We start from the raw sequence: 23089 nt of genomic DNA, 5'->3' as shown, positions 1-23089 counted from the left end.
CTGTTTATGATGTGGTAGAAGCAATACAAGTAAAAGCTACAAAGAAGAGAAGGAGCAATTATCAAGGGTAGAGCCTGGACTCTACACTTACCAAGAATCCTCACTCCATGCAATCAACCCCAGCTCTGAACACCAGGGAGGAGTTCAGCTCCTGCCTTCCGCCCCCGTGGGGGCCCTCGTGATGAATACATACACTTCATACCATCTCACAACCTACCTGGGTTTCCTCATCTGAGCTTGAAGAAAAGAAAAATGAACACTTTGCCAAAACCGCCATCCTCCATCCACCAAAAGCCCTTCTCTCTTGTGCCTGGTTCAATTATTCTTTTCTGAGGGGCAACATGCAGGATGAGAAAAAAGGGCCAGGTCCTAAGTGGGGCTCTCCTCTAAGAAGCAAAAGCACGAGTTTCAGAGAGATGAAAAAGAAGACTGGGCCGGGTGCAGTGGCTCACGCCTGTAATCCTAGGACTTTGGAAGGCTGAGGTGGGCAGATCACCTGAGGTCAAGAGTTCAAGACCAGCCTGACCAACATGGTGAAACCCTGTCTCTACTAAAAAAAAATAAAAATAAAAAATTAGCCAGGCATGGTAGTGCATACCTATAATCCCAACTACTTGGGAGGCTGAGGCAGGAGAATCGCCTGAACCCGGGAGGCGGAGGTTGCAGTGAGTTGAGATCGTGCCATTGCACTCCAGCTGGGCAACAACAGCAAAACTCCATCTCAAAAAAAAAAAAAAAAAAAAAGAAGAAGACCCATGTTCTGGGACTTACTGCTATCACAGAGATGCTAGTCATTCGTTTGTTGTATAAAAAACAGACTTATGCCGGGCATGGTGGCTCACGCCTGTAATTCCAGCACTTTGGGAGGCCGAGGTGGGTGGATCACCTGAGGTCGGAAGCTCAAGACCAGCCTGACCAACATGGAGAAACCCCGTCTCTACTAAAAATACATAATTAGCTGGGCGTGTTGGTGCATGCCTGTAATCCCAGCTACTCGGGAGGCTGAGGCAGGAGAATCGGTTGAACCTGGGAGGCGGATGTTGTGGTGATCCAAGATCGCGCCATTACACTCCAGCCTGGGTGACAAAAGCAAAACTCCATCTCAAAAAAAAATTAATTAATTAATTAATTAAAAAAAAAACAGACTTATTCCCCCATGTCACATGTTCATTTCCCTGAAGACATCACAAGCTCAAAGCCTCCCCGGCTCAAAGTGTTCAGTGCTTGATATGCTATCCCTGTCCACCTGCAAAGGCACTGTCCTGAAGATTAGATGTATTTGTTCTCTTCTACAATGCTTTAGATAAGATAAGGACACAAGAGCCAGTGAATACACATCAGGACCTGCACAGAAGTATAGAGAAGTATCACCACTGTCACTAGGGTGGATCATAAAGCTGAAAAAAATGCCCATTTGAAAACCAATAACCCATGATCTGAGACCCAGATATTTAATATGTGGTTACTTTCTGCCTCCAATGTAAATATTTATTGTGTTTTAGCATGTAAAGAAAAGCTATGGCTATTACACTTCCCAACGTGATGTTCTTGCTGACCAACATGATGGACACATTTATTGAAACCAGCGCCACACAAACCTGGGTTTTCTAATGACAACAGAAACAAGTCTCTCCTTCCCTGGCACATCTCAGATGGATTAAAAATCTTGAAGTGGGCCGGGCACGGTGGCTCATGCCTGTAATTCCAGCACTTTGGGAGGCCAAAGCAGGTGGATCACCTGAGGTCAGGAGTTCGAGACCAGCCTGCCCAACATGATGAAACCCCATCTCTACTAAAGATACAAAAAATTAGCTGGGCGTGGTGGCAGGTGCCTGTAATCCCAGTTACTTGGGAGGCTGAGGCAGGAGAATCGCTTGAACCCGGGAGGCAGAGGTTGCAATAAGCCGCAATTGCGCCACTGCACTCCAGCCTAAGCAACAGAGTGAGACTCTGTCTAAAAAAAAAAAAAAAAAAAAAAAAATCTTGAAGGGACACATAAATGGTTTCCAAGATATTGAGAATCCTGTAAGAGAGTTTAGCAGGCAGAGCCACCAAAGTGTTTGTCAATTAGATCATGATGTTCCCAAGGCAAGACCGCTTCTCCAATGCATTCCCAGTGCCAGGCACAGTGGTTGACACATGAGAAGCACTCAACAGGTTCAAACAAACAAATGAATGAAGGGCAGAATGGACTGGATTATTTCAAACATGATCTCTCAGATTCACTGTGAAAACTTAGAGCAAAATTTAGAAAGCATATGCTTTTGTGTCCCTAACCCCAGTGTTACCCCTGAACCCACTGGCCAAACACTCACAGTTGGAACATATATCAATTAAGGTGTTTTCAAGAGCAAAGAATAAGCCACTCAACTTAAAGCGACTTAAAGAATTAGGAAATTTAGGCCAGGCATGGTGGCTCACACTTGCAATCCCACCACTTCGGGAGGCTGAGGTGGGGAATCACTAAAGTATAGAAGTTTGAGACAGCCTGAGCAACATTGCAAGACCCCAGCTCTAAACACACACACACACACACAAAGTGTTTTTATTTTTTTAATTAGCTGGGTGTGGTGACGTGTGCCTGTAGTCCCAGCAACTCAGGAAGCTAAGGAGGGAGGATCACTTGAGCCTAGGAGTTTGAGGCTGCAGTGAGCTATGATTGCACCACTGCACTCTAGCCTGGGTGACAGAGTAAGATCCTGTCTCAAAAAAGAAGAAAGAAGAAAGAAGAAGAATTATTAGGAAATGTATTACCTCAAATAGAACAACTACAGGGATTTCAGGTGAGTTACAGAAGAGGCACACACACACTCACACACACACACACACACACACCCCTACACATCCTTACCCATTATAGTAAGTCCCCGTTTTAATTATTCAAAGGTAGAGAATATTATTGAATTCAGAATAACACGTCAGTCAGTCAGGTGCAGATCACAGCACACATCTTAGTGAGGCTTCTAATGAGATTCAAAGGGCTATGTCACTGCTCTTTTTTACTCGTTGCTCATGTCACTAGAATAGAATTTACTCTAACATCTATGGCTTCTATTCAAGGGAATGTTTAAACACAACATGAATGAGTCCATTTCCTCAACTGCAGAAAGAAAGCAGAGTCCATGCCCAGGAATTCTCAAACATCACTCTGCCTTCAGCATTGCACAGTACCGGCAAAGCCATTTCCTCACATTTTATTTGAGGATTTTGATACGGAGTGCTAGCACAATGATTACAAGTTCATTTTGTCCAATTTATACACCATAAAGGCCAGAGGTGGAGTGACTTCAGAGCTGATTCAATAACTTCATCTAGGATCCATGTTTTTTCCATGTCTCAACATATCAACTTTGTTCTTAGACTGGCTCCCCTCATGGTCCCAAGAGGGCTGCCACAGTTCTAGACCTCACATCTGGATTGAAAAACATCCAGAGGCAGAAAAAGCCTGAATCTTCTAGTGGTAAGAGTAGAAGAAACCTTTTCCAGGTGCCTCCCATCAGCTCCCTGCTTTAATTTTTTTTTTTTTTTGAAATGGAGTTTTAGCTTGTCACCAGCCTGGAGTGCGGTGGCACAATCTCAGCTCACTGCAATCTCCACCTCCTGGGTTCAAGTGATTCTCCTGCCTCAGCCTCCTGAGTAACTGGGATTACAGGCGCATGCCACCATACCCAGCTAATTTTCGTATTTTTAGTAGAGACAGGGTTTCGCCATGTTGGTCAGGCTGGTCTCGAACTCCTGACCTCGTGATCTGCCCACCTGGGCCTCCCAAAGTGCTAGGATTACAGGTGTGAGCCACCGCACCCGGGCTTTTTTTTTTGTTTTTAATCAGCCAGGTGTGGTGCCGTGTGCCTGTAGTCCCAGCGACTCAGGAGGCTGAGGAAGGAGGATCACTTGAGCCTAGGAGTTTGACTTTAAGTCTCAGGCCGTACTGAGAGACACACCCACCCCAAAATTCATTACTGATAAGGGAACATGGGATTGCAGTTACTGGTTAAACTAATCAAGATTCACCCCTGAGCTGGAGACAGAGACACCTTCCATGACTAAACCAGGGCTCTGTCAGCTGGGAAGAATGCCCTAAGCAAAGGACAGGCACCGAACAGCATCTGTGCCCAATAGCCCGAGCCCCATCAGCAGGGACCTTTTGGGACTCTGTGGCTGTGTGGGCTCCAGGGGTCCCTTGAGGTAGAGACACTATTAAAGAGAAGGGATTCAGCACTTAGCTCACCCATAGTGTTTGATTCTGGCTCCTCTTGGGGCAACAGCAAAGTATGGGGGCTATGCTGACATCACGATCTATGATGCTGCCGCCACCATGGTTTATTAGCCTGCCTGTGCCACTTCCTGAGCCTCCAAATCACACAGAATGTAAGACAGACAAAAATGTCATCAGAGTACAAGAGCAAAGCAAGCTGCTTTACTGGGTACCTACTAGACACAAGACATGGTTTTTCACATTAAATCATTTAATTCTCACAATAGCCACCAGCTAGGTATTATCAGCACTCTGTTAATAGAAAAGAGGGCAGTGGCTCAAGCCTGTGATCCCAGCACTTTGGGAGGCCTAGGTGGGTTGATCACTTGAGCTCAGGAGTTGGAGACCAGCCTGAGCAACAAAGTGAAACCCCATCTCTAAAAAAATTTTTAAATTACCCAGGTGTGGCGGTACACATCTGTAGTCCCAGCTACTCAGGAGGCTGAGGTAGGAGGATGGCTTGAGCCCAGGAGGTGGAGGTTGCAGTGAGCCAAGTTATCATGACTGCACTCCAGCCTGGGTGATAGAGCCAGACCCTGTCTCAAAAAAATAAATTAATTAAGTTAAATTAAATTAATGCAGAAGTTGAGGGACAATCAAACAATTTGTCCAACATCTCATCACTAGAAAGTATCAGAGCCCAAATTCTAGCTCCAACCCTGACTCTAAAACCTGCAGCCTTTGTATGCGGACATACTGTGTTCCAGTGCAGAATAGAATGCCAAGTCACAAGCAAAGAGAAAAGGACATACCAGAAAACATTGTCAGCCCAAGAATATAACCAGAGAAGACAAAGAAAGAGTTACAAACATTCAGGAAACATGAGATCGGCATTACATTATGATCCCATAAACACGGTTCACATATGCAAGTTACATATAAAGCACACCCTCAGTCCCAAAGCCCTACCCCATAAGTTGCCTTGATTGGATTTCGTAAGACTACTAAGGCAGTGTCGCTCGAATCTGGTCCATGGACTGATGCTAGTCTGCGAACTACGCGTTTCCAGTTCACAATAATAAACACAGAATTGAAAGCAACATGTTAGAAACCTCTCTAGTGTTTTAACAGTGCAATAACATTCAAGCATGTGACTAGCAGACTTGTCTTCTGGAATGGGGTCTAGACTAGTTTGGGTGCTGTTGAACTCAGGTTGCATATGGCCCAAGCTGCATGCTTGTACTGGTTCATCACGGATTGAAAAATAAAAAATTAAAATAAATAGGCCGGGTGTGGTGGCTCAAGCTTGTAATCCCAGCACTTTGGGAGACCCAGGCAGGTGGATCACTTTAGGTCAGCAGTTCAAGACGAGCCTGGTCAACATGGTGAAACCCCGTCTCTACTAAAAATACAAAAATTAGCTAGGTGTGGTGGCGTGCACCTATAGTCCCAGCTACTCGGGAGGCTGAGGGAGGAGAATCACTTGAACCTGGGAGGTGGAGGTTGCAGTGAGCCAAGATCACATCACTGTACTCCAGCCTGGGTGACAGAGCAAGACCCTGTCTCAAAAAAAAAAAAAAAAAAAAAAAAAAAAAAAGATAAATAAATGAATTAAAAAAAAAAAATCCCTGGTGGTTCCCCAGAGAAAGTTGGAAAAGCACCACCCTAGAATTCAGCTGGGTAAATATAATTACCCTCATTTACAAGTAAAGAAAATGAGATTCAAGGAGACTGAGTCACTTTTCCAAGGTCAACACCCCTGGGAAGAGGCAGGACAGGAAAACACTCTAGTTCAATGACAAATGAGAACTATGAAATCTCCCAGCTCCTGATAACAGAAAGTGCTGGCAAGAGGGGCCTGTAAAAAGGTGGAGGCTTGTTTAAAAAAAAAAAAAAAAAAAGCATTTCCCTCAGCTTTGCCATTGCCAAAAGTTCAGCCAAGATAAAATGCCTCTGATGAGAACTACCTATAAAGTGAGGCCAGGAATAAAAGGGAAATGGATGGGCTCATTCCTGGCAAAGCCCTGTCTTGTGCATCCTGATTTACTAGTGTTACTTGTAGAACTGACTTGTTGTTACTACAATTTCACCATAAATTACGAAGACGAAGGTGTCTTCTCAAAGCCCTTCCAGTCTGGCTCCAGATTTTACCAGCCCCATCACTGACTCTAGGCCCAGCCAAACTGAACCTCCCACCCTCTCAGAGCTAACGTTGGTTATTTTAGAATGTTCCACTATCACCTCTCTCTTCTTCTTACTCAACTAGAAAAGCCCTGCTCTCCATGAAAACATTTTTGGAATATTGTTATAGCTAAGACCCTGGGTTTCAAGAACCAAGGCTCATTTAAGCTCATTTTTAAAGGACGGGGAATGTATGTGGGGCTGTTCAGTGGTCTCATGCAGACATTCCAGGACAGGAAGGGCCACAGTGGGGACTGAGAAACATTGTCACCCCCGGCAGCTCCTAATGTTTTTTCTGTTTCTGAAGTCACTGGACTCTCTAGCCCTCGCTACATCTCTGCTTTCTCCCTAGGCGTCTCCTGTTTCCTTGTTGCTTTAGTGTCCCTACACCTTCACTGGTAGACAATCATTGTGGCTTCCCAATTCTACCTTGCATATTTGCAAATGCAGCACCAGCACCAACTAGATCCATCCCTCTCTTCCCAAGTCTAACTTCCCGAAGAAGGAATCTGATTGGCTGAGCTCAACTTTTCAAGTCAGGCCACTAATCAATGATCTCCAGCCTATCTAAGAATTAGCTTACTTGGGGCCTGAGGTCAATCTCTGGTCTCAACAGCTATTGTCAGGAAAGGCCAGGTATGTGACATGGAGAATGTCTGCTTAAATGCAGGAGACTGGAAGCAGGTGGGTCTAGACCACTGATATGGTCTTTAAAGGAATTAAAGAGAAATTAATAAACTCCTATTTTTGCTTCAGTTCCCAACTCTCGTGACACTTTCTCTAGGAGGTCTTCCATGATTTCTTCAGGTTAGTTTTTGTTTTTGTTTTCTTTTTTTGAGACAGAGTCTTGCTCTGTCACCCAGGCTGGAGTACAGTGGCACAATCTTGGCTCACTGCAACCTCTGCCTCCCGGGTTCCAGCAATTCTCCTGCCTCAGCCTTCCAAGTAGCTGGAACTACAGACAGGCACCACCATGGCCAGCTAATTTTTTTGTATTTTTAGTAGAGATGGGGTTTCGCCATGTTGGCCAGGCTGGTCTCAAACTCCTGACCTCAAGTGATCCACCTGCCTCGGCCTCCTAAAGTGCTGGTATCACAGATGTGAGCCACTGTGCCTGGCCTATCTTCAGGTTGATTTTTGTTCCTTATGTTCTTGCAACACAGTGTAAGTCCCTCTCTAGGAGCTCTCATCATGTTAATTAGAAACTGCTTGCTTGCATCTCTTCTTTCCCCACTAGATTATGAGGGCTTTGAAGATCTGGACCACACCACGACCACCTTTGAATCCACAGCATGGAGCTTGGTGTTGAACATAGAAGGAGAACAGGAAATGAGCATGGAATGAATGACTGAATTTACAACCGGATAAGTCAGCACCTGAATAAAAGGCTGACGAGTGAATTATGCTGAAACAAATGTAGGTCCCTCTGCATCCACTCCAGATCAACTAAGGAGAATGACAGGGGTAGAGTGGGTGGGAGGGAAGGGGCAATGGAAAGGTAGGAAGATTCTTTACAAGAACAAGTAAAGTGAAAGAAAAATCACCCCAAAAGGAAGAGACAAAGAAGTAGTTGAACTTCTTTGTGGCAGCATCTTTTACTTCCAGATGTTTCTTTAGGTATTTCTGCATTCCTTGGTCTAGCAGGGGAATGAAAGATTAAAGCTTGGATTCATCTTCCACAACTGTAAAATGGAGATAGGTCCAGCTGCTTGGCTGGGTGACTGGGAGAATAAAAAATGAGATAATAGATGAAAAGTACCCAGCAGAGCACCTGGGGGCAGGTAAAAAAGGCTCATACACTGTGGGTCACAGTGGAGAGTTTCAGAAATGCCCAGAACCTACCAAGCAACCTCTCAATGGCAGGAGGAAGTATGTCCTGGGACTTTCACAGGGAAGCACTGAATCTTTATTAAATTACCCTTCCCCCTGGGGTTTAGAGCAAGAGGCAGCAGGGCTGTTCCTGCCTCACTGATGGCAAGAGGCCTGCGCAGGCCAATAACACGGTTACAGTGTTAATCATTAAAATGCTGTGTCTGTTTTTGTCTGGGGACGAGGCATTTCGATCTTTGTTCTCCCTCTATAAAGAGGAAAGGTGAGGTGCTAAGTGGTGACTCCAAGCCAAGAGGCTAGCATGCCTGCCAGGCCACACGGATGGGAAGGCTTCAGATTCCCCCAGCCCCAGCATTTTTGGAGATGTCCTTGGAGGGTAAATCCTGAGTAGACGCAGTTGGAATAGGAGGAAAGGCAGATTAGCTCCTCCCAGAAAGCCAGGCTGTGCCCATTCAAATGAGAGGCTTCTATCATTGGCTGTCAAAAGAGAGTTAAGAAGCAAGGTGGTAGGCTGGGCGCAGTGACTCATACCTGTAATCCCAGCACTTTGAGTGGAGGAGGCGGGCAGATCACCTGAGGTTAGGAGTTTGAGGCCAGCCTGACCAACATGGCAAAACCCCGACTCTACTAAAAAATACAAAAATTAGCCAGGTGTGGTGGTACACACCTGTAATCCCAGCTACTCAGGAGGGTGAGGCAGGAGAATTGCTTGAACCCGGGAGGCAGAGGTTGCAGTGAGCTGAGATCACGCCACTGCACTCCAGTCTGGGTGACAGAGCAAGAATCTGTCTCAAAAAATAAATAAATAAATAAATAAAAGAAGCAGCAGGATGAAGGGATATACCCAACAGAAATGCAAACACATGTCCACACAAACACATGTATGCGAATGTTCATAGTAGCATTATCCACAATTGCCGAAAAATGGAAAGAACCCACATCCCCATCAACTGATGGGCATATAATAGGATTCCATTTAATGTGAAAGGTGCAGAACAGGCAAATCCATACAGACAGAAAGTAGATCAAGGTTGCCAGGGACTGGGGGAGAAGGGGAATAAGGAGTGACTGCTGATGAATGCAAGGTTTTCTTTTGGGGTGACGAAAATGTACAACTTTGTGAATACACTAAAAAACCATTTAATTATACACTGTTAGGTGAATTCTGTGGTCAGTGAATTATATCTTTTCTTTTCTCTTTTTTTTTTTTTTGAGGAGTTTTGCTCTTGTTGCCCAGGCTGGAGTGCAATGGCACGATCTTGGCTCACTGCAACCTCTGCCTCCTGGGTTCAAGCAATCCTCCTGCCTCAGCCTCCTGAGTAGCTGGGATTACAGGCATGCGCCACCACGCCCAGCTAATTTTGTGATTTTAGTAGAGATGGGGTTTCACCATGTTGGCCAGGCTGGTCTCGAACTCTCGACATCAGGTAATCCACCCACCTCGGCCTCCCAAAGTGCTGGCATTACAGGCATGAGCCACCGCACCCGGCCAGTAAATTATATCTTTAATAAACCTGGACTCTGAGTCAGATTCTTTGCTCTTATTTTTTTTTATTAAGGAAATATTAAATACCTACTAAGGGCCAAGCATTGTTTTAGGTGCTGGGGCCATAGGATGAACAAGGCAGACAATGCCTTGCTCTCTTGTCATTTACATTTCATTGTGGAAATCTGTCCGCCACGCACCCCCCAAGCTTAAAGGCAAATAAATAAATAATTGCATGTGTGGTGAAACTGTGAAGCAAACGTAGAGCTTAAAGAAAGAATTTTTTAGAATGTAGCAGTATGCCCAGAATGGGAGAAATTCCAGGCAGAGACCAGCATGTGCTCAGGGCATGGGTGAAAAAGGTCTTGGGGTGTTAAAGACACTGAAATCAGACCAGGAGGACTGAAACAGTCACTCCACCACTTCTTTGTGTGTGACCTTATACAAGGCCCTGCAGCTCCCTGAGTTATTCTGCGGGGTAGTGGGGAGACAGTACCTATCCAATCAGGGAAGCACCTGGCTCTGTGCTGGACATAGAGCAGGTACCCAAATATCATTCCTCGCCCTCTCCATCTATCCCCTCCTGACATGCTGGCTGCAGTCTATTCCTCCATCCTGGATTGCATATTCTTCCTCTCTCTCTCTAAAAGGACAGACATCCCCTAAAAGAGTCTACAAAAATAGCAAATGTGCAGGCTAGGTGCAGTGTCTCACACCTGTAATCCCAGTACTTTGGGAGGCCAAGGTGGGCAGATCACTTGAGCTCAGGAGTTCAAAACCAGCCTGGACAAAATGGCAAAACCCCATCTCTCCAAAAAATGCAAAAAATTAGCTGGGCATGGTGGCATGCACCTGTCATCTCACTACTCAGGAGGCTGAGGTGGGAGGATTGCTTGAGCCCAGGAGGTTGAGGTTGCAATGAGCTGAGATCACACCACTGCACTCCAGCCTGGGTGACAAAATAATAATAATAATAATAATAATAATAATAATAATAATAATAATAATAATAGAAAACGTGACCGGGCACGGTGGCTCACGCCCGTAATCCCAGCACTTAGGGAGTCTGAGGTGGGCGGATCACTTGAGGTCAGGAGTTCGAGACCAGTCTGACCAATGTGGTGAAACCCCGTCTCTACCAAAACTGCAAAAATCAGCCAAGCATGGTGGCAGGCGCCTGTAATCCCAGCTATTCAGGAGGCCGAGGCAGGAGAATCACTTGAACCTGGGAGTCGGAGGTTGCAGTGAGCTGAGATCTCGCCACTATACTCCAGCCTGGGTGACAATGTTAGACTCCATCTCAAAAAAAAAAAAAAAAAGAGCAAATGTGCCACATAATTCTCTCATCAGTGGTACAAGCCAGACACATTATCCCTGAATGCCTGCACTGCATGGACCAGAAGAATTAGCCTGTGATGGTCTGTGAACTGTTTTCCTTGATCAAGTGTGAGTCATTAGGTCTGTGCTAGGTCCTTATTGAGAAGTAGCTCCATAAGAGCGGCTACTGTTGCCTTCCACCTATAAAGGTGGCCTTTCAGCAGCCTCTGGGCTCTGTCTAGAACTAATTTGATTAGGAAAGCTCAGCTAAGGAGGAAAACACAATACTGTTGATCAGGGCATAAGCTTTAGAGTCAAGCCTATCTGGATTCCAGGCTGCAGACTTACTTCTACTTCTTCCTGGCTAAGTACCCTAGATGTAGGACTTCTCCTTTTTTTTTTTTTTTTTTAAGAGGGAGTCTTTCTCCTGTCCCACAGGCTGGAGTGCAATGGCGTGATCTCAGCTCACTGCAACCTCCACCTCCCAGGTTCAAGTGATTCTCCTTCCTCAGCCTCCCAAGTAGCTGGGATTACAGGGGTGCACCACCACACCCAGCTAATTTCTGTATTTTTAGTAGATAGATACGGGGTTTTACCATGTTGGCCAGGCTGGTCTCAAACTCCTGACCTTAGGTGGTCCACCTGCCTCGGTGTCCAAAAGTGCTAGGATTACAGGTGTGAGCCACTGCGCCTGGTTGGGACTTCTCCTTTCTGATCATTTTTCACCAGCAGCATCAGCCTCCTGCTACCATTTATGGGGAATCATTAAATAGCTAATGGAATTCCCACTATCACCTGTGAAATTTGGCTGCTATTCCCATTTAACAGAAAAGTAAACAGAGGCACAGATCTTAGACGTCAAGTACCCATGGTCATACAGTTAGTTGATGGAAGAGCCTGGATTTGAATCCAAGGAGTATAGCTCCAGAGCCCGTGGTCTTTAACAACCGCACACTATGATGTCCCTCAGCTGCAAAATGGGACAATAACATTGGCATTGTGGAGTTTTCACAAGGACCGACTGAGCTGAAGTATATGAAGTATTTTGAGATGCTGGGAACCTAGAGATTATCCAACAAGTGGTACTGGCCTGTCTCCCTTAAACTTAAGGCGTTTCAAAGGGACTCTGCTATTAGAAGTGACTTTTTCAGACACAAAGGTAGGGTTTGCCCAAGGAGAGATTGACAATGCTGAGCCACTGCCCTGTGGAGCTCTCCAGCAATCACCAAAGCTCCCATCTTAACCCAGGATCCTCCACAAAGATCAGACCCAGGAGAGGTGATTCAAGCTTTTAGGGGAACCTGCTGGTGTCAGCTGCTAATATATGTAAAGTGTCTAGTACAAGGTCTGGCACATATCTTGATTAAAAATTAATAGAGCTCTATTTGATTGCACTAAATTCTATACACACATTTGATATTCCCATTGAATCCTCACAGCTGTTCTATCGCGTACATACTATTACTACTCCCATTTTGCAGATGAAAAAACTGAGACCTAAAGAGTTACATGATGGTATGTTCAACGTCATGCAGCTGGTGAGTTGTCAAGCAAGGATTTGAACCCAGGCAATGCGATCTCTGAGCCTCCATCGGAATTGGCTCCATTCTCAGAGACTTTCTCCTGCCCCTTCTCAGGAGACCACATTATCAGCCCAACACCAATTCATGTTTACATGGGCCATTCTTGTTAACTGAGACAGTAGAGAGGAATGGCTGAGTTGATGCATGGGCTTTAGGCAGCATCAGCTCCTCCTTCATAGAAGTGATATAACCATATCTCATTTAATCCTTTCAATAGCCCTATGAGAGACTTAATATATTAACTTCACCCAGACCAGAAAACAGAGGCAGGCAGATAAAGTGTACCCAAAGTTACACTGCAAGGCAGTAAGAGGAGAAATGAAAGCCCACTTCAGCTCAGGCTGGGCTCCAGGGAAATAGTTGCTAGATAATAAGTTATCTCACCTCTGAGAGGCCAGGCAGCCTTGTGTCTACACAGGAAAACAAAGGTAGATAAATGCAGGAATTCACAGCCCTATAAAAAACGAATTAAGATAAAATGCGTACCCTTACTACTTAATGAGGGAGGTTTATGAACACAAATGCATGACAATGACTCAGAGGAACATAATTATCTTATCGTAAGTTAAAGGCAATCAATTTTCATTTCTAAGTAAATATCATATTTCCTCCATCCTAACACACCTATTTTTTTTTTTTTCTCACATTTGGCCATTTCTGAAGTCTGGTTACAACTTACCACAGATGCTCATGGTGACAATGCATCTTCCTTCCCCGTCCCGTAAAGGCGAGTATTGAATTAAAAATGTGACCTACAACCAATGTTGCCTTAGAATTGAGGTTCCCCTTTCAATCTCACCCCTGTCCTAGCTAAGGCATTCTATCACTACCCCTGTCTTCTTTTTTCTATTTCAAGTCACAGGAAGAAAACTATGCATTTCTTGTTAGAAACTAAAAGGAAACTCTCTCACCTGCAGTAGATGTTACAGGAGCAGACTCACAGAAGAATTAAATGATTGGAAAATAGAAAATAAAGATTTTCTCTTCCCCAGCCTGTAACTACTCCTGTACCCTGATCCCTAATGCAAGAACACGGGAATAAGCCTGGGCAATATCGTGAGACCTCGTCTCTACAAAAAATTTTTACAAATTACCCAGATGTGGTGGTGTGTGCTGGTAGTCCCAGCTACTCTAGTGGATGAGGTGGGAGGATCATTTAAGCCCAGCAAATCAAGGCTGCAGTGAGCCGTGACCACGCTGCTACATCGCACTCCAGCCTGGGCAACAGAGCAAGACCCTGTCTCAAGGAAAAAAAAAAAAACATGAGAATGGTTGACTGAGCCTGAGCCTGGATCTGCCTGGAGACGTGTGGTCAGTGGAAGGGGTGTCTTTATGCAGCTGGGACAGGTGAGTCCAGACAGGAAGAACCACACTCCAGACCATGCAGTGACTTTGTGGCAGAGCCGCAAACTCAAGGCTCTGCGTTCCCAGAACAAGTGCTTCTCACTGTGCTGCTTCTAGTTTGTTGCCTCAAACTCTCTGCTCAGAAGGCCCTCTCAAACCTGGGCAACACAGTGAGATCCTGTCTCTACAAAAAAAAAATTAAAAATTAGCTGGGCACAGTGGTGCACAGCTGTGGTCCCAGCTACTCGGGAGGCTGAGGTAGGAGGATCACTTGAGCCTGGGAAGTAAAGGCTGCAGTGAGCTGTTATCGTACCACTGCACTTCAGCCTGGGAGACAGAGTAAGACTCTGTCTCAAAAAGAAGGAGCCTTCAGCTTGCCAGATGAGAAGTGATACAGTGATACTGTCTTCCTGGAAGCAGAAAAGTTCTGTGTCCCTGAGCAAGTCACTTCATCTCCTCTCCTGCTGCTAAAACTCCCTCATCCTCACCCTTCCTCATGCTCCTTCACAGAACAGGCAACAACCTCCGTCCAGGGCCCCTATCTACATGTGGGACTTCCACCCATCATGGGTTGCTGGGGCCTTCTTCTCTCTCCTGAAGTTTTGAAAAGAGAGATAATGCAGTCATAAAAAGAAATGAACTAATGGCATTCGCAGCAACCTGGATGGAACTGGAGACTATTATTCCAAGTGAAGTAACTCAGGAAATGGAAAAAACTTCGTATGTTCTCACTCATATGTGGGAGCTAAGCTATGAAGATGCAAAGGCATAAGAATGATACAATGGACTTTGGGGACTTGGAGAAAAGGGTGGGGTGGGGGTGAGGGATAAAAGACTACAAATTGGGTTTAGTGTATACTACTCAGTGATGAGTGTACCACTAAAGGATGACTCTTGTAATCAAATACCACCTGTTTCCCAAACACCTATGGAAATAAAAAATAAAATTAAAAATTAAAATTAAAAAAAATAGAGACAAAATGTAAAAGGAAGAAAGGAGTCAAAGAAATCACCAAGTCAAGAGTGCTGGGTCTGGGCCTTAAACCTTACCCTTCCTCTCTGTGAAATGGGCACAGCCTCTTCCTCTCTGATCTGGTTTCCCAGTTCCCTTCCAGACTGGCCTCTGGTGCTTGCAGGTGCTAAAGCTAAGACACGCATCCCTCTTGCTCCTGACAGCCTAGCCTGGGTTGGGGGGATCCTGCCAGCAACACCACCGGCTGTAAGTTCTGTGGCAGCAGCCTCTACCCTGTCATGTTAGTGTCTGCTGAATTGAATCACTCAGAGGTCATTTTCTGGCCTCCTTTTAAATGGCAGACCCCAAAAACAAACGCTGCTTCAGTTTATGCCTCTTAAAACTTTGGCCTAAGGTGCTTTGCTCCCATTCCTGGGTACAGAACTAGAAAATGGAGCCAGATCCCAGCCCTTGATGTGTGGACAGGATGTGGGAAGGTAACAAAGGGAGAAAAGGGGTGAATGAAACGCCCAAGATGGCTTAAGAAGCAGTCTCATCTGGCCAGGCACGGTGGCTCATGCCTGTGATCCCAACACTTTGGGAGGCCTAGGTGGGTGGATCACCTGAGGTCAGGAGCTCCAGACCAGCCTGGCCAACATGGCGAAACCCCGTCTCTACTAAAAATACAAAAATTAGCCAGGTGTGGTGGCGGGCACCTGTAACCCTAGCTACTCAGGAGGCTGAGGTGGGAGAATCACTTGAACCCGGGAGGTGGAGGTTGCAGCGAGCTGAGTTCGCGACACTACACTCCCACCTGGGCGGCAAGAGCGAAACTCTGTCCCCCAAAAAAAAAAAACGAATCAGTCTCATCAGTGCAAATGCTCGCAGCTCCCAAATTAGTTGGGAGCAACTGGACCCAAGAAACATTCAGCAAGCACACGCATCTTGAGGTTGTGAAGAACTGTTTAAGAGTCAGACTGCTGGACGCAGTGGCTCACACCTGTAATCTCAGCACTCTGGAAGGCCAAGACTGGTAGATTGCTTCAGCCCAAGAGTTAGAGAACAGCCCAAGAGTTGGAGACCAGCCTGGGCAACATAGTGAAACCCTGTCTCTATAAAAAGTACAAAAATTAGCCAGGTGTGGTGGCAGACACCTGTGGTTCCAGCTACTTAGGGGGCTGAGGTAGGAGGATCACCTGAGCCCAGGGAGGTCGAGGCTGCAGTGAGCCATGATTGTGCCATTACACTGCACTCCAGGCTGGGCAACAGAGAGTGACCTTGTCTCAAAAAACAAAAACAAGCCAGTCTTCTAGATTCATGACCCCAGCTCTGCCACCTACAAGCTACCTGACCTTGGGCCATGACTTAACCTCCCTGTAACATGGGAGTAAATAGTCCTTTCCTCCTAGGGTTGAGGAATGCTTGGAACAGTGCCTAGTACACAGCTAATTCTACAGTATTGTTCACTACTATTACCTGCCTGGAGCTTTAATGCACTATAATCTCATAGAATCTTCCTAACAAGCCTGGGAAAAAGTAATTATTTTATAGATGAAAAACCTGAGGCTCAAGTCATACTGCTGATTTGCAGCAGGGCTGGGATTTAAAGACTCCCCGGTCTTTCCAACTTCAAGTTCCACTGTCCCGTGTTCCCTCCCAGAGAGAGGGGATAGAAAAGGACAACACCGTGGGGGAGGGGAGGTAAATCATGTGGAAGGGGCATGGATGCCATTGGGAAAGGCTCAAAGTGGGAGAGGCTGCCCGGTGGGGAGGTCTGATGGAGACAGTTTTTCCCCATGACCTCTTGAAGTGCCACTTCCCAGAAAAGATGATGGCTGCAGGCTGAGGGCACACTGGGGACTCCACATCTTTCATAGCCATTGCTGAAGTCTCTGAGCCTCAAGAGAAATTTACTGCAGACCACACATCGGCAGCCATGAGAGGGAAGGCGGAAGGGCAGGCCAGATGGGACAGTCCCCAGGCAGGACTCTGCACAGGCTCTGGGGCTGTGGGGCTCTGGGCTGACCACAGCCTGGAAGAGCCTAGTGACACCCTGTCACCCCTAGACTCCTCAGTTCCCAGACACCTTGTTCTGATGAAGTGAATGGGGAGGCTGGGCCTGGGGGTGGGAGAATAGCCACATGATAGCCCCTCACCCCTGCATGCCAGCAGGCAGCAGGGAAGGCAGACAGGAGCCCAGAGGGCCAGCAGCAGTGACCACGGGGCCTACATTTTTCTGGCAACGAGGGTTGGCAAGGGAGAACAGACAGAAGCCTGCTATATCAGGCTGGAAAGAGAAGGACTCTCCTCAGCTTGGAGAAATTCCTGCCTAGTACCATTTGCCCATTCCCAGACTAACCAAATGTTAGAGCAGAAAAAGGGGCTTTCTGAGGTCAGCCAACAGGGCCTCCTTACTTTGCAATGGAAAAAAATTAGGTCACACAAAGTTGAAAGCTATTGTAAAGGAGACCAGAACTTGGGTGCCTCAATACCTAGTCCCATGGTCTTCAGGGCATGCATATGAGATCCAGAATCAGGTCACCATGGCTCTGACTCTGGATCTGCCCCCAGCCATCAATCTGCACTATTCTAGAAGCTTCCTTCAGGTTGTAGGTTCTATAGCTCTGAGATAGAGTGGCATGCACTGTGTGTGCACGTGTGTATGTAGTATGCGTCCATTCAACAGCAAATATTTATCGAGTGCTCCATTTAAGGCCCTGGAGATAAAGCAGTTCACAAATAGAGGAAGCCTCTCCACTGTGTCTCTAGGGCTGACTTTCACTACAGAGAGAGCCTCATGCACAATTTGTGCCTAGACTCAAAGGTAGGATGTGTCCTGTGCACACCATCAAGAGCTACAGCCCTTCTCCGGGTCTCCTTGTGCTTCACAGGGGTTTTGGACAAACCTTATGGGAGCATTTCCCCAGCCCCAACCCATGCCCTGACTCCCGCCTCCCATGGCACCCCAGGGTGCTGCTTCGGGCATTTGGTGCCCCGCCTTGCAATCACTGACTTCCTGAGCAACCTGAAGAGGGACTGTACCTACTTCACCTCTTAATCCTTAGCACCTGGTGGATGCAAGCTCCCTAGGAACTCCCGTTGAATAAAGGGATGATTAAATGAAGGCACCGATTCTCAGTTTCTCTCATCTGTAAAATGCAGGTGATAACTATCTGGATGACTCCTGATTTTCCTCCAGATCAGATGAGACATAGGAGATGAAAGGACCTTGGAACTAACGTGCTGTTCTTCCCAAGATACAGTTCTTATTATCCCCCATAAAAATGGCACCAGCTCAGTGTCTCTGAGAAAGGACTCAGCTATAGAGAGCCTCGGTTTTTATCCGGGAGTGTGTGCTTGAGCATGAATATGTGTGTGAGTGTGAGTGTATATGCTGGCCTGGAGAGCCAAATCGACCCCATAAGAAGATGTAATTTCAAGGAGGCTTCAGGGAACCCAGACCTCCTCCCTGTCTGTCCCTATTTACAGGGACATATGGCTGCCAGGCCAGCAGAGCCCCAGAGGAGTTCAGCCCTCAGCCGAGGACAAAGGGAAGGACGGGAAAGAGAAAGCACCCCCAAGAGCCCTTGTCTCTCCATCGTCCGTCCGTCTGTCAGCGGCAGCCAGTGGCTTGCCAGGCAGGACGGAAGCGCTGCCCGGCCATAAATGACCGCTGGCTCCAGGCTGGCCACCCGCCCTGGCCGCCCGCACGGAAGGGCCGGACTTTACCCAGCAAATCGGGAAGGAACTGAAGCCTCTGAACTTGGGACTTGGGCTCCGTCGATAAGGCCAGTGGACAAACAGAGGGCAGGGACCAGGGCTCCCCTTTATACACACAGAAGCCCGGCTCCAGGCTGATACTGCTGAGATCTTTGCCCTTTAGTTCAAACAGGAAATCTTAAAATGGAAAATGAGCTGCGTAAGGAAGGGGCGCGGCCACTAGCTTACAGGGAAGACGGAGCAGGTTGTTCGCCAAAGAACGTTTTGGCTCCACGCGGCCTGGGGTGTTTGGGAGGGGTCAAGGGTCTGCCTGGGGAAGGGAGAAGGCAGCCTGGCAGGTGAGGAAGCCCTATAGGCAGCTGTAGGGCGGGGGGAGTGTCAGAAACCTGGGTCTGAGCCACAATACGCAACTGATCCGTGGTGTGGCTTGTGGGGAATGACTTCACATATAGGAACCTCAATTTCTCCATCCATAAATGTGGCTAGCCATACCATCCACCTAGAGCGCTCACAGAGGATCTGAATGAAGTCATGGTGTGAAAGTGCCATGCAAGTCACAACCCTACATCCTGGCAAGGCCCTCCCCAGAAGGAATTTCACAATCACAAGGGGAAATCCAGAATAACATCTCCAGCCCCCCATGCCACCCCTGTACACCCCCGTGCTGGCAGTTCAAAGAAGAGAAAATTGGGAGAAGAGAAATAATTAGAGAACGCCAGCAGTCTCTCTGCTGAGGTTTCCAAGTAATTATTCACCTGTAAATTACTCCTCTCACCTTAATTCTATCTCCAGATCCTTTAGACAAGGTAAATTCATTTATTTACATCTCTAACTATCCTGCTTTGGTAAACATTCCAACAAGGTTGGATGGCCCATTAAAGAAAAAAACAAGTGAAGAAGCGAGGCAAGCAGGAGAGAGAGAGATTAACTACTGGTCATTACTGGCATTTGCAGAATTACCTCCAAGGGTAATTAATGAGGAATCATGCCAAAGCAAACCTCAACTTGAGCCAAAAAGGAACCCATCACAGCCAGGTGGAAACTACAGGCGGCCCCACTTGCAGATGGCCCTCGCTTCTCACCTGCAGGATGGGACCCTTCCAGGAGGCTCCCCTTAACTCCTTCTGCCTCAGGCAGTGGTGTGGGCTGCACCTTCATTTCAGGAAGAACTCTCCTTATCTGGTGAGGTCACTTTTGACTCACCCCTCTCACTCACAGACCAGCAATCTTTCTGGGCCACCCCCCAACCCAGGCCTGGCCATTTCTGGGCCTGGCACATCTTAGCTGCTCAATAAACAGATGGCTAGGCATGGCGGCTTATACCTGTAATCCCAACACTTTGGGAGGCCAAGGCAGGAGAATCACTTGAAGCCAGGAGTTCAAGACCAGCCTGGGCAACATAGACAGAACCCATCTCTATAAAAATTTTTAGTAGTGACACGCACTGTATTCCCAGCTACTTGGGAGGCTGAGGCAGGAGGATCACTTGCACCCAGGAAATTGAGGTTATAGTGAACCATAATTGTACCACTGCACTCCAGCCTGGATGACAGAGCAAGATCCTGCCTCTAAACAGACAGATAGTAGCTGCTGAGTGAATGGATCAATGTACTATTCATTCTAATTTCCTAAAGCCTCTTGAACTTGCCAAATTTCAAAGTCACCCCCCCTCCCAAGATTAAACTCACCATCCTTTTTTGCCTGAACCAGAGCCTCCAAAGGGCCTCTCCGCTTCTAGTCTCTCCTCCTTTCCTCCTCCACACAGATTTAACTCTCAAAAAGGTAAACTGAAAAATCAAGCAAGATAATACTTCAGCTCCGACCACTGAGGAGAAGGGCGGGGTTAAGAGAGTGGCCCCTAGAGTCAGATAGCCTGGGTTGAAGTCTGGGTCAACAACAGACCACCTGTGTATACTTTGGGTCAGTTACTTAACATCGCCGAACTTAGTCTTCTCATGGCTTCTTCACCTTAAAATGAGAATAACATCTATCCCACTTACAATGGCTGTTGAGTGCATTATGAGTTAATGAAGAAATGCCTTGCACCTGATGAACACTGGCTGTTAGCAGCAGCAGGGAAATTAGTCTCATCAGCATCGTCCTTACTAGAAATGCCTTCACTGCCTTCTCATTGTCCTCACATTAAAGCCCAAGCACTTTAGCATGTCAAGACACATGGAGTTCACAAGGACAAGAGCCTGATTCCTGTCCTGGTCCAGAGTCCAGCTCAGAGAGCCCTCAATAGATATCACGAATGGATAAATAAATAAATGAAACCAGGCCCTGCTCTCTCTCAGCCTCAATTCTCACCACTTTCCCACCCTCCCTAGTCCAGCCATAGAAGCCCTTGCAGTTTCCCAAATGCTACGTGCTCTCTCAACCTCAGCTCTTTGCACAGGCTGCTTTCTCTAAGAATGCCCTTCCAGGAATCCAGGCACTGCATCCCAGGACCCAGGCATTCACAGACGACAAATGCAGAGAGGCGACCTTAAATGGGCTCGTCTCTCAGAGGTGTATCCCATTTTGGACAGTGAGTGAGCCAGAGGGTTGGACCTTTCAACTGGCCTTTTAAAGTTCATGTGTCTTCTAGAAAGAGCTTTCTAGTGGCTTTGAAATATCCAACAACCCCATGAAAGGGGAAGATAGATATGGGTCTCCCCAGCTTTAAAATGAAAGAATTGTGGTCCATAAAAGGCCAGTGACTTGCCCGTGGTCACCACTTAGTATCAGCAGTGACATAACCTTAAACTTTCCAAGACCACAGAATAGGGGAAAGAACACAGACTCAGAAGCAGGTGTGAGTTTGCAACCCTGGCCAAGACTTTGAGCAAAGTTCACCTCTTTAAGCTTCTAATTTCTCCATCTGTAAAGCAGGGGTAAGCATAACTTTCCTGCAAGGTGGTTTGGGAAGATGTGTTGAGACACCTACCACATGAGAAAGCACCCAGCCACTGCCTGGTCCTAGAGGCAGAGTCACTGCATGAAATGTGAGTGAAGGTTTGGAGAGGAGAGGGAGGCTGAACAGTGGCAGGTGTGCAAGGATCTGGAAGTGGCAATGAAAAGCAGGAGAAGGCAGCCTCTGCCTCCACATCTGGAGTCAGGAATTTTTTAAAACCTTAACTCTCAAAGGCCAAGGGCAAACGGTATCCTCAGCAGAGAGTCGAGGGTCAGTTAAGATAAGAAATAGAGGCAAAATTAGGGCTAGAGACGCAGCTCACAGGCAGCCAGCAGCCAGCATTCGACTCACACACACTCTGCCCAACTGGGATAAACTTCTGAGAACCAAGCCCCTTTAAAGTTGCCTCTCTGGGTTTGTCGTCTGTGAATGCCTGGGTCCTGGGATGCAGTGCCTGGATTCCTAGAAGGGCATTCTTAGCAGAGAAAGCAGCCTGTGCAAAGAGCTGTGGTCGAGAGAGCATGGAGCATTTGGGAACTTGCAAGAGCTTCTGTGGCTGGACTAGGGAGGGTGGGAAAGTGGTGAGAATTGAGGCCGAGAGAAAGCAGGGCCTGGTTTCCATGAGTCATGCTAAGGTGCTTGGCCTTTAATTTGAGGACAATGAGAAGGCAGTGAAGGCATTTGTAGTAAGGACGATGGTGTGAGAGTAATTGCACTGCTGCTGATTAACAGCCAGTGTTCATCAGGTGCGAGGCATTTCTTCATTAGCTCATGAGAAAACCACAGTGATGGGATCAGGTGAACTTTTCCAAAAAAGAGTTGGAGATGGAAACCAGAGCGGTAGCTAGGACCAGGAGGTAGGGAGAGAGACTTGGAAGAGGCAGAGGCCAAAAATATGCAACAATGACCAGCAATAATAGAAATGTCACCACAACAATCAGAGAGTGAAATTAGCTCCTGGTCATTACTGGCATTTGCAACTTCTATTTATTCAACAGTTTCCTCCACATGACTGCTAGGAGATTCTTTTTGTATCTCACTAAAAGAGTAAATAATCGGCCGGACACAGTGGCTCATGCCTGTAATTCCAGCATTTTGGGAGGCTGAGGCAGGTGGATCACCTGAGGTTAGGGGTTCGAGACTAGCCTGGCCAACATAGTGAAACCGTATCTACTAAAAATACAAAATCAGCCAGGTGTGGTGGCACATGCCTGTAATCTCAGCTACTTGGGAGGCTGAGGCAGAAGAATCACTTGAACCTGGGAGGCGGAGGTTGCAGTGAGCTGAGATCACGCCATTGCACTCCAGCCTGGACAACAAGAGTGAAACTCTGTCACAAAAAAAAGAATAAATAAATAAATAAATAATCTCATAATGCTAAGAAGCAGGTCAAGACACATGAAGTTCACAAGGATAAATGCCTGATTCCTGTCCTGGTCCAGAGTCCAGCTCAGGGAGCCCTCAATAGATATCATGAATGGATAAATAAATAAATAAATAAAGAGCTAGCACTAATATCACAAGAGCAAATCCCCAGACAGCCCTTAAATTCATATTTACCAATAATCCCAGATTCTTTTATCTT

General features: G+C 46.7%; 1 long non-coding RNA gene across 7 annotated transcripts in view, besides 2 other annotated features; it reads right to left on the bottom strand.

Moving 5' to 3' along the window:
• Positions 1-23089, bottom strand: part of LOC105376205 (uncharacterized) — a 98539-nt gene that overhangs the window by 58854 nt on the left and 16596 nt on the right. For 6 of the 7 annotated variants that reach the window (XR_930217.2, XR_930218.2, XR_930216.2 and 3 more), the window contains 2 exons: positions 20297-20395; positions 12977-13046 (listed from right to left, as the gene is read on the bottom strand). The exons of the other annotated variant lie outside the window; for it this stretch is intronic. This is a non-coding gene — a long non-coding RNA (uncharacterized LOC105376205). The remainder of the gene's footprint in view (positions 1-12976; positions 13047-20296; positions 20396-23089) is intronic. 7 annotated transcript variants of the gene reach the window in all.
• Positions 18073-18597: an enhancer, noted in NCBI's record as "H3K4me1 hESC enhancer chr9:110350158-110350682 (GRCh37/hg19 assembly coordinates)". NCBI's record gives its function as "activates a minimal SCP1, AML or CMV promoter by ChIP-STARR-seq in primed H9 embryonic stem cells {active_cell/tissue: H9 hESC(primed)}" and the evidence as "EXISTENCE:reporter gene assay evidence [ECO:0000049][PMID:30033119]".
• Positions 18598-19123: an enhancer, noted in NCBI's record as "H3K4me1 hESC enhancer chr9:110349632-110350157 (GRCh37/hg19 assembly coordinates)". NCBI's record gives its function as "activates a minimal SCP1, AML or CMV promoter by ChIP-STARR-seq in naive and primed H9 embryonic stem cells {active_cell/tissue: H9 hESC(naive and primed)}" and the evidence as "EXISTENCE:reporter gene assay evidence [ECO:0000049][PMID:30033119]".

The sequence above is a fragment of the Homo sapiens genome, chromosome 9 (assembly GCF_000001405.40).
Source record: "Homo sapiens chromosome 9, GRCh38.p14 Primary Assembly".
Classification (NCBI taxonomy): Eukaryota; Metazoa; Chordata; class Mammalia; order Primates; family Hominidae; genus Homo; species Homo sapiens.
Note: the sequence above shows the minus strand (reverse complement) of the source record. Positions and strands in the feature narration are given on the sequence as shown.